The following is a 12,066-nucleotide window of genomic DNA, read 5'->3' as shown; positions in this document are numbered from 1 at the left end:
AACGCCTTCTGGTTTGGGACTATTATAAATAAACCTGCTATGAATATTGATGTATAAGTCTTTTAATGACATGTGTTTTCATTTATCTTGGGTAAATACCTCAAGTAGGATTGCTGAGTCTTACGTTAAGAAAGATTATGTTGAATTTCATAAGAAACTGCCAAAATATTTTCCAAAGTAGCTGTACCATTTTACACTTTCACCAATAATGTATGTATTAATAAACCAAAAATAAAATTGTAAGACCCTCAACCATCTGAATGAACCCCCCCTCTTGGCCAAAGGCATTTCAAAGTTAACCTGAAAAATTAGTTCAGGCCATGATGGGAAGGGCGAGCTGGCCATGCCTCATTATATCTTCCTCCCGTTTGGAATCACTGATAAAACAGATTCTTTAAGTCTGATAAGAAACACTTACAATCTATTCTCTCTGAAGCCTACTACCTGGAGCCTTCATCTGCAAGATAAAACCTTGGTCTCCACAACCCCTAATCATAACTCAGACATTCCTTTCTGTTGATAACTCTTTCATGCAATTTACAATGAGAAAATCTTTGAATCTGTGTTTGACCTGGAAGCCTCTGCTTCCAGTTGTCCCCCCTTTCTGAACCAAACCAATGTACAATTTACAAATATAGATTTATGCCTTGTGTCTTTCTAAAATGTATAAAATCAAGTGGTGGCCCAACCACCTTGGGCACATTTCTCAAGATCTCCTGAGGGTTGTGTTACAGGCCATTGGTCACTCATATTTGGCTCAGAATCAATCTCTTCAAGGATTTTATAGAGGTTGACACGTTTTGTCAACATGTATGAGACTTCTAATTGCTCCACATTCTTGTCAGCACTTGGTACTGTCAATCTCTTTAACTATTGTAATATGTCAGTAGTAGTATCTCTTTGGGGTTTTAATCTGTATTTCTTTAAGAACAAATGATATTAAGCATATTTTGACGTGCTTATTGGTCATTCAGATACCTTATTTGATGAAGAGTGTGTTCAAATATTTTGCTTTTTACTTTGTTGCTCATCTCATAATTGAGTTGTAACAGTTCTTCATGTATTCTGAATCCAAGTCCTTTGTCAGATGTATGGTTTGAAAATATTTTCTCCCAATATGTGGTTTTATTTTTATTTTCTTTACAATATATTTTAAAGAGCAAAGTTGTTTTTTGTATCATTTTGTTTTGTTTGTTGACATAGGGTCTCACTGTCACCCAAGCTGAAGTGCAGTGGTATGATCATGGCTCACCACAACCTCAAACTCTTGGGCTCAAGCAGTCCTCTTGCTTCAGCCTCCTGAATAGCTGGGACTATAGCTGCATGCCACCACACCATACCATGTCAGGCTATATATATATATTTTTTTGGTAGAGACAGGGTTTTGCTATGTTGCCCAGGCTGGTTTAAAACTCCTGACCTCATTTTATAAAATAGGTCTTTCTTGAGGCTAGGCACAATAATGCATCCCCGTAATACCAACACTTTGGGAGACTGATGTGGGAGGATCGCTTGAGACCAGGAGTTCAAGACTAGCCTGGGCAAAATAAGGAGACCCCATTTCTACAAAAAAGTTAAAAAATAATTAGCCATGGATGGTGGTGCATACCTGTAGTCTAGCTACTGAGGTGAGAGGATCCCTTGAGCACAGTAGTTCAAGGTGGCAGTGAGCTATGATTGTACCACTGCACTCCAGTATGGGCAACAGAGCAAGTCCCTGTCTCTAAATAAAAAATAAATAAATAAAATTGATTTAACTAAATAAATTAAAATAAAAGTTTTCTTTTTTTTAAAGTTCCATAATTTTTGTGTTCTATTTAAGAAACTTTTTGCCTAACCCAAGGTAACGAAGATTTTCTCCTCTGTTTTCCTCTAAAAGTTTCAGTTTTATTATGCATTTTAGTTTTAGGTCTATGATCCATGTCTTGTTACACTTTGTCTATGATGTGAGGTAAGGGCCGATAACTTTTTTTTTGCATGTGGATTTACATTTGTTTAACCACTGTTTATTGAAAGACAATACTTTTTTTATCTATTGGGTGACCTCAGCACCTTTGTTGAAAATCAATCGACCATTTTTGTGGGGATTTATTTCTGGTCTCTCTATTTTTTTCCATTGGTTGATATGTCTATCCTTATGCAATACCATCCTTTCTTGATTACTGTGGCTTTCATAGTAAATCTATTCAGAGCACTTTCATGGCCATTATCTTATTTGAGTGTTATAGCCCTCAAAGCTAGAACTGTCAGGGATTACCAGTATAATAACCATTTTACTGATGAGTAAAGAGAGTCTCCCACCTAAGTTTACAGTTATCAGTAGACCTGGCACTAGAATACTCCCAAATATTAGTCCAGTTGTTTTACCTATACGACTAGCAAAAATAGTAAAGAGTAACTGATTCTTACACCAATAGTACACAGTGGTACATTTTCAGATTTCTTGGAATAACAGACTCCTACTTAATCTGTGGAGGCTCAGCAAAAAACTTAAGACAATCTTAGTAATTTCAGGCTCTTCTTGGTGCAAATTCACCATTTAAGTTCTGAGTAGTTGGCTTTCTGAATGGCAAATTCAACATTACTGTGTCTGCTATTGCTCTTTGGGTTAATTGGACTCTATCTATTCCTAATCTTTTTTTTTTTTTTTTGAGACAGTCTCACTCTTGTTGCCCAGGCTGCAGTGCAGCAGTGCGATCTCTGCTCACTGCAACCTCTGCCCACCTCCAAGGTTCAAGTGATTCTTCTGCCTCAGCCTCCCAAGTAGCTTGGACTACAGGCACACACCACCATGCCCTACTAATTTTTGTATTTTTAGTAGAGACGGGGTTTCACCATGTTGGCCAGGCTGGTCTCAAACTTCTGACCTAAGGTGATCCACCCGCCTCGGCCTCCCAAAGTGCTGGGGTTACAGGTGTGAGCCACGCACCCAACCTTTATTCTTAATCTTAATCTGAATGCCAATTAGGCTTGATATAGGAGGGGTCTTTCCAAGAAGGGAGCTGTTTTTTGGTTTTTCTCTTACTGGAACTTATTGGATTGGTTTTTGACTTTATAAATTGTTTTCTATTAGTGATTTGCTTAAAAGGCATCCTGTGACTAACAGGATCATTTTCTTCCATGCTTTGTATTCCTTTATGTTAACATTTTGTTTTCTTTATTGTCCTTCTAATTTGATGGTTTTTTAGAATTTTATTGTGCATCAAACATGTATAGTCCTGGGTTTACATAAGGTAATTGTATCATTTGGTATTTTCTCTTTCAGAATGAAGAAGTCAAATTCATTGAAAATGAGCTCGAGATTCAAAAGCAAAAATACTTTAAACTTCAGACTTTTGTTAGAAGCTTGATATTAGCAATGAAAGCTGATGATAAGGAACAACAGCAGGTAGGTCCCAGGAAAGACTAGTAAGCTGCAATGTATCAAGTCAAAAAATGGTATGTCACACTTGGGTTCTTCATATGTTTTCATTTTAATACTTCATTTCTGCTTGGCATGGAGGAAATATTTGTTATTTCATGACCTTTGCAAACAGTTTTCTTGAGAATAGATGCTCAGATTTTGTGTGCTCCTTCAGTGGAAAATCAAAATAATTGATTAACATGCTTTTAATGTCAGGTTAGTCTTTAGGTGAGGAAAATAACTTTAAAATTAATTTCAAAGAAATTTCTGAAAATGTTGATAGAAACTAGGCTACCCTAACTAGAGAGGCACATATTTTGGGACCTTTTGTGAATGAAAGAGTTAAAGCATTTCTTTGCATCTCTTCTGGATCTTAATTTCCTGCCAACCTCCACTACAGTTCACAGATGTTTGGACATCTTCTATTCTGTAATGTGTTGCTCATCACTAAGAAAATATGAAATTACTTTGTGAAACTCTTTGTTTCCACAGTGCATCACTTACTTTTCCCAATTTAAGTATTTGAGTATTTGAATTTTTGACTCCAAAGATGAAATGTATTGTCTTTTGCATGTTGATGTGGGTTTTTGTTTACCAGTTCCTCCCAAATTATATTTTGTGTCTCATACATTCATGTGAGATCTATATAATAATTTGTTAAGCCTGCTAAAAACTATAGAATTATAATAAATGTACCATGTAATATTAAATTATACCAAATTTTCATTTGAGCTATATGACATTATGCTGATTCCTTGTCACAGTTCTATAGGAGTAGTGTGAGACATATGTAACCCTTGTTTAGGAAACAGTCTCAGAGGTTTTTATTCATCAAGGAATGTCAGGAGTACAAATATTCATCTCTTATATCAAAGAAAGACAGCATGTATATAGCCCATCTCAGACATCCCTAAGGAAAAAGATTAAAGCCATAACATTCCATAAGCCTCCCTTTTTTTCCCAAGAAATAGCCTTTATATATTTTACTGAAGTGCTGAACCACAAAATTGAAACTAATGAATTTACTCATGAGGCTCAAACCAGCATGTATATTATGTGTCAAGTTTCACGAATTTTACTCCCCATACACCCTGTCACACACACAGACATCTCAAGACAGTAGCTTTCATTTACCTTTGCCAGCTTAATTTAAGCATATTGGTTTATTATGTGAGTTATGTATATTCCACGACATACTGAAAATGTGTTTATTTTTTAGAAACCTAAAATGCAGATTTTAAATGAATAGGGGAGGTAGTTTTGAACATGGTCCCAAGAGTACTGTAAGTTTTAAATAACTGTGAATAAACAAAATTAGGTACAAGCAGAGGAATAACTTAAAGTGTGGCTCTTGTTTTGAAAGTCATAGCATGGTTGTGAATTGAGAGTTATATGGCCAAGTAACTAGCAAGTTTCTGTGCCTCTTGACATCTAGGAATAGTACACAGACCCCATTTTATTTTCTAATTCTAACTTCATTCCTGGTTTGGTTCTTTTCCCAAGACCAATAACAAATGTAATTAATGTGCATTTTTATTTTTCTCTTCCTCTTCTTTCCCTCTGATTAAAGACTAATAAATTAGTATATGGACAAAAGTTGGTTGAAAGAGAACATGATTCAAAAATTGTAGTGAACTTCATAGCCAGTATAATCAGCACCAAATAGAAACTACTAATTTGTATAATTAAGAATGAGTATAATGAATCTTAGAATATGGTCACAAAATATAGAAGACACGAATAGTAGTCCAAAAAAGTTATCTAGGTAATCGCTTAAACTACTGATCTTTACATCATGAAATATTTATAGGTTTATTTCTGGAAGGAGTTAATTTTTATTCTACCTAATAAAAGACAACCACATGTCACTGGTTTTTAATTTTAAAAAAGATCTTCAGTTTTCTTCCATTAATCTTGATTTGTGTAAGTTGAGTCAGATGTGTGGTCCACAGAATATTTTGGACCATTGAAGTAGTCCAGGGTTTACAAAATGTGATACTCTCTGACTGAAACACTAGATTACCCAAAGATTTTGTTGTTGTTGTTATTTAAATCAATAGCCACTTTAAAATCAAAGTAATATTTTCAGCATTATACTTAGTCATTTGCTATGGTCTTGCTTCCCCTGATAATTCACTGCGTGTTCCTAGCCAGATCAATTGCGTTTCTTGAACTTCAATTTCTCCACTTTGCAAGTGGGATAAGAATGATTAATACTACAGAACTTGATATTCATACCATAGGGTCTAGAATAAGTGTTATAGATCTGAGCATATGGAAAATGCTTTAATCTCTTGGGAAAAATGACCGTAGGTCAGACCCTGAGGATAGTTGTCATTTATGAAACATTTGTAATAAAGAAAGTTAATCGTATTCACGTTAGTATCTGTGAAAAAGGCAGTTCCAACAATTGTTATAATCCAAAGATTTTTTTCAGTTGCAAATCTAGTAAGATATTGAAAGAAGAATTTTAAAGTGGACCACATGTATTAGTTGTGCCCTATGCTGCCTCAGATATTAAAATTTTTATATTTTTTACTGCACTCATTTTACTCAACTACTTATAATGCAGTAACAAAGAAATAAATAATAATGCTTCTTTGATTTGTAATCTCCCCACTAGAAATTAGAAATTAGAATATCATGAAATCTTATTCTCTTGACTTTCTGACTCTAAGAACATGTTCAGTCAATGTTAATTTGAACACTTTCTCCTCTTTAATATGGCATCTTCAGAATTGCAAAGCGAGTTAAATCCAGTGATGTATGTCATATAGACTGATCAGCCAATGTCAGAAAAGACCCCATTGCACTGGGACTGGGTTAGTGGTAAAACACTTTTCTAGGAGAAAATGGCTCCGTGTCCTATTACTGCAATCTAGCCACTTAGAAAGCAGGCATTACCTTTAAGTTAGTTTACTGTGTATATACTCTCAGTTCCAGCAATAAATTAATGAGAAATTCAATTTTATAAAATAAATAATAACAGCTAGTCTGCCAGATAGGGGTTAGTCTTCCCTTACATAGCCTGATAAAAATGAGAATGTTTTGATCTTGCCCCTGTGCTACAAGGCAGGAAGTATAGGATTTGCAGCTGCCACTTATTTTAATAAAGAGAATGAGTGCATACTGTCTTATTTCAACAGTGGATTTCATATATTCTCCAACATGCCCTTTCTGTTCCTTAATTGGCTAGTGACAAGCTTTCATTTCTTCCTGTTCCCTTGGTCTTTATTTACCACTGCACCCAAAGCCCACATTACAAGTAATACTGTCTAAAAATTGCCAGATATGCTACATTATTCTTAGTATTGGAAGCAGCAAATCAATCATTAAGTTCAAAGTTCCTCATGGTCAAGTGAACATTAGCATTGTCAGCTGCGTAAAACTTGATTAATCATTTATTTCTTTAGAATGGGTGCATGTTCTACAACTTCAGATAAAACAATTAGACCATGACAAAGCTTATTTCATCATTATTGGATTATCCTTATTACTCAAGCAGAGAAATGAGTAGCCCTCCAGATACATCATTACTACAGATAGATCCACTGATTCAGCTGTGCCCTGGTGGGTGCTTGGCCATCTGTAGGTATGAACATAGCCTTAGGAAAGAAAAAATAAAATTACTTGGTCTTTTCAAGTTGTTAAAATTTAGTCTAAAGTAAAATAGCTGGAGGTTTTTCCTAACTACTAAGTTCTTTCTCCCACTGAAGAACAAAATAGTCTTTTGTTAAATGCAGTCTTCTACAAAGGACAGCATAACTGGCATGAATATTTTAACAAAGAACGCAATTTTAAATCCCTTAAACAGTGATCAATGCACACTCAAAACTAGTATGAAAATCACTAACCTCAAACACTTCAAAGCACTTGGTTCAGAAGAGTTGCTCATTTCCCTCCTAATATCCCCTTTGTACAGGTTCTACTCTACAGAATTCACACTTTCAACATCTAGAATTTTGTTACCTTCTGAATAATGTATGAAGAATTTTTCTTTTAGGTAAGGCATTGTCTAAGATCCTGAAATATAAATTATTCTTTAAATCCATAAGGATAATTCACCATGGGAGGACTACAACTATTAATATAAATTGGAAAACAATCTATCCACATACTAATCCAAAAATATTATTTTTTTTATTCAGGCACTGCTGTCAGATTTACCTCCTGAATTAGAGGAAATGGATTTCAATCATGCCTCACTGGAGCCTGATGATACCTCATTCAGTGTATCTTCTTTGTCAGAGAAAAATGTCTCAGAAAGTTTGTGATTTCAGTTGGAGGGAATATATGATACAGTCTTTTGGCTTCGTAACAGGTGTGCATTTCAAGATAACTGCATTCTGTTGCCCTGGTATTCTTTAGTTGGGAAAACACATTGTTGAAACGGACGTATTCTGTGAAGAATGTACAAGATATAATGGCTACAGTGCAACAAAAATGTAGGTGAAATTTAAAAGCATTGTTTGAGAGAGTATTTTTTTAACTGATGGAACTCTGGAAAAAAATTATATTTAAGTTTCAGCAGTTTAACCCTGAAATTCATTATGTCTAATTTCTAACCAGAGACAAAATAACTAAAGACATTTCAGCATTGCTTATCAAGTTGCTACAGCTTGATTAGTCTTGTTTTTGTAGCCATTACATCTTCTTTCTTCTTCTCTCCTTTTCCTATCATCCACTTACACTTTTTCTCAGGAAAGTGGACTGAACATTTAAAACAAAACTTTAAAAAATTATTTAACTCATTATTTAATGAGTTCTCTGATTTAGTTTTTAACCCCTATGAAAATTTGACTTAAACTAATGACTGAAAATTAAATGATTACAGGTATGTAATTGTAAATTGCTGGTGTTCTTCTATTATCTAACCCAAATATTTGTGTGGGGGTGGGGAAGCACAATGGAAAGGTAATTTAACCAACATAACGTCAAATAAATTACGAAGTGTACAGAAACAAAATGTTGTCAAAATTAGTCTTGATGGGGATTCTTCATTACTACAAATGACAAGTATTGATACGATTGACATTCCAGTAGTAAATTTGTATACCTGGGTTAGATGAAGTGTTACACAAATATTTTAAATTTATCACCATCTTTATAATTCTTTTTTAGTTCTTACATGTTATGAAACAGGAAGTCAAGGTAAGCTGCTGAGATTTTTTAAAAATTTAGTCATTCAGCTTTGCCACAAAATTTACCTCATTTCCATATGAGGCCTGTACAGAGCCATCAGCCAAGGATAGTATTCAAAAAGAGTTATACTACTTTGGTTGTAAATCACAGTCTTCTGAATTCCATGAATACTATTCTATGAGTACACACCTAAAATGGGCAAGCTACCCAGTTTTCTATTATTAGTAGGTACCAGATGGCAACACACTGTAGACTGTTCTTTGTAGTTCTTCCTTTCTGGAGTACCAGATGGTATTACCAAGACCCATAGAAGAAAAAATGTCAGTTTCTCCCTAAGCCCACAGTGTCATATATTTGTGACTTGGCAGTGTGCAATTGTGTTGCATGGTTAAATTACTATCTATACCTAAAAGATTAATGAAGTAGCTGGATGGCTGTTTCAGCCATCAAGTTTCTGTTTCCAATTTGTTTTTAATTTTTGTTGGTACCTAGTAGGTATTCAGATATTTTTAAAAATTTGTAATTAGAGCCAAATTTGATCTTGAAATTTACTAGTACTAACTTATGAACACAGAAAGGCAGTCATAAATGTCTTTACCCTTGAAGTGTCCCATCCTCCCACACACACAAATAGGTAAGCTCCCACTGATAGTCTTTCATTTTGTCACTTATTTGTTTATATTGCTGCCATACTACTGATATGGTCCCTTTGTTAGTAGGAATATTTCAGTGTTCAGATATGCTTCCTTGAGCCATATGGAGTTTTGCAAACAATAGTTAGTTTTTCTTGCTGACAAGTCAAATTCCATTCAGAGAAAGCAGCAGAGAGTAACAGAGCCTCAGATATTACGATTAAATGTACCAGTCACACCAACTCCTCCATGAGATGAAGAGTCGCCCCCATATACAACGAAGTTAGAAACCACTTATTAAGTAGCATGAACAAATTCCAGGCCTTCAAGTCTCTCCTAGGGTCTGCTTCATAGTCATTGAGTTTATCTTTCAAATATAATTACTTCTGCTTCAATTTAAGCCCCTTCTTATTTGGTTCTCATTGCAAATTAACTATAGGTATATTCTCTCCTACAGCTTTTAACACTATAGATTTTATTTGTCACGCATCAGCCATTAGTCACTAAATCGAAAAATACTTGTTGAGCTCCTGCTATAGAGAAGACACTGTGCTGGACATTGGATTTCTCAGCAAGCTGTAAACATCACAAATAATTATTTCTTTTTAACATCTTCTATGATATTAATAAACCATATTTAAGTAGAATTTTTAATAGATTTAAGGTTCTGCTAGGTGTGATTCTTAGAAGGATTCCTAGTCCACAATTTTGAGAGAAAGCATAGATGATCTTTTTGTCTCTGTTTAACATTTCATCAAAATAGAAACTATATAAATCATAACAATACATTTAGAACTCCTTTTGTCTTGAAATTTGTGTTTCAGCACCAGAATATTTTTCTTCACCATCATTGGAATTAAAACACTTCTAAAATGAAATGTGGCTATTCTGTAGCAGGAACTGAAGGAAATACCTCTATCTATAGAAAAAGAATCATAATTGCCAGATTGAAATTATTCATGGTAGACTTTGAAAAAGATGTCAAGGTCAAGCTTTGAAAAGTTGTTATGAAGAAAGTATATTTTTTACATATGTAGATAGGAGTTGGTTTTGAGATATGTTAGAGCAGGAAAAATTATCAGCTTATAATTACTCTTGTGGACATCTTCATGGCTGGGGATAAAAATTAACTAACTAGTGTTTCTTTCTTTAGGGCTTTGAGATTATTAAAACAGACCTTACTATCTGAAGGCTCTCTCAGGGAGACAGAAGCCAATGTGGAAAAAAACAAAAAACAAAAAACAACAACAAGAAAAAACTTCTTTTTTTCTTTCAACTACATTTCTATGTCTGCTTTAAGCTTAGAACAGCCAAGCAGTTTTTAAGCCAGAAATGTGTATGTAAGAGCACTTACCTTCCAAAATGTGTACATATGAAAAAAAAAGGAAGGTATTTTCTTCTTTTCAGCCAAGCTAAACTTATTCACAAGAAAATGAGAATTGCAATTGCTCTGGAGAATAGGAAAATTAGCACATGCAAAGAAAACCTTAAAAGAAAATTGGCCTCTTCATGGAAACTGGGGATGTTTTGTCCTAAGGTCAGTTATCAACAGCAGGATTTTTGTATTGCCATTGCAAGCATGTGATAGAAATGTTTGTTATTGTTGGAGAAGAAAAGGCTGAGACCCAATTATACCCTGTACTCTTTATTCGACCAAGACCTCAAAAGATGTCAAAGAAGCCATTTCTCCAAAGACAGCAACATCTATTGTGAGGCACTTTCATATTCAGCAGTCTGTAAGTTTGTAGGAGAAAACATAAGTGGTTAATTTAAAATAATTTTGGGCTCTAAAATGGACTTTGTTGCCTTTTTTGGTGGGGGTGGTGGGAATCGGATTCAGCCCATTTCCAAGGGATAGTTTCTTCATCTCAGACAACTATTTTGTGATCCTTTTTAAAAGACATTCTGAAAACTTTAACTCCTGCCCTTCTTCCGTATTACAGTTGTGTTATTCCAGAAATATTGTCTACTTTTTTAATATATTAGATTTTCATTCAGATCTTAAACATGCAAACATGTGATAGGTTAGCTTTTTAAGGGAGTTATCAGTACCACTGTATCTAAATGTTAGGTAAATGGGTAGATTTCTCTTTGAAGTTGGTATTTTCCTTGGCAGACAGCACTGTATCATGCTCTTCACCAAGCTATGCTCTGTAATGCTATAATCAAGGAGGCTACTAACTTGTGAACCTACAGTCAACACACCATTGCTGAAAACAAACTTTGATTAAGAACAGATTTGCTAGGGGGAAAAAAGAGTAAAGTGATATTTTCAAGCAAATATAATTAAAATTGTTTCATTAAAATATATACTGAGTGTATATTGCTCCACACTGAAATTTTATTTTGCATTAACTTGTTAAGTAATTCATTTTAGCAATCCTGCATCCCATTTTACTAGTACTACCTCTGAAATATACTGTCACCTTAAAACCACATCAGACTGTAATGTGAATTTTTGTAGAGTTTTTATTTAAACTTTTATAGAGGCAATAAATGATTTCCAACTAATAGACATCTATTTCTTTATTTTAATATTTATTTTTATAAGCCTTTGTGTTGTAAGCACTTTCCTCTTTTAAAGTGGATTATTTTCTCCCCAAAATACGGTTCTGATAAAATGAAAAATGAAGAGAATAATAAGGTGTTGGGTGTCAAAGAAGGGAGAAAATGGAGTGCTCATGTGAAAACTGAGTTGATTTCCAAGCTGACATGTGTACCGCCCTTAACTGACTTTACTTAACTCCAGTACCAATGGAATAAAGTGAATATTTTGTAATAGACAACAAATATGTCTAGGATATTATATTTAAATGGTAACATCAGCAAGTAAATTGCACAGTATAACAAAGTGTTATTTTTACAAGAGGTTTTTTTGTTTGTTTGTTT

At 34.3% G+C, this 12,066-nt stretch overlaps 1 protein-coding gene across 12 annotated transcripts in view; it reads left to right on the top strand.

Moving 5' to 3' along the window:
- Nucleotides 1-11,688, top strand: part of HDX (highly divergent homeobox) — a 184,576-nt gene extending 172,888 nt beyond the window's left edge. For 7 of the 12 annotated variants that reach the window (XM_017029275.2, NM_144657.5, NM_001177478.2 and 4 more), the window contains 2 exons: nt 3,266-3,388; nt 7,552-11,688. In XM_017029275.2, coding sequence (XP_016884764.1) covers nt 3,266-3,388; nt 7,552-7,677 — 249 coding nt within the window. In that variant the 3' untranslated portion in view covers nt 7,678-11,688. The remainder of the gene's footprint in view (nt 1-3,265; nt 3,389-7,551) is intronic. The other 5 variants (XR_001755653.2, XR_001755652.2, XR_938392.2 and 2 more) reach the window with 2 other exon arrangements.

This window comes from Homo sapiens, chromosome X (assembly GCF_000001405.40).
Source record: "Homo sapiens chromosome X, GRCh38.p14 Primary Assembly".
NCBI classification, from domain to species: domain Eukaryota; kingdom Metazoa; phylum Chordata; class Mammalia; order Primates; family Hominidae; genus Homo; species Homo sapiens.
This window is presented reverse-complemented; position numbering and strand designations above follow the sequence as displayed.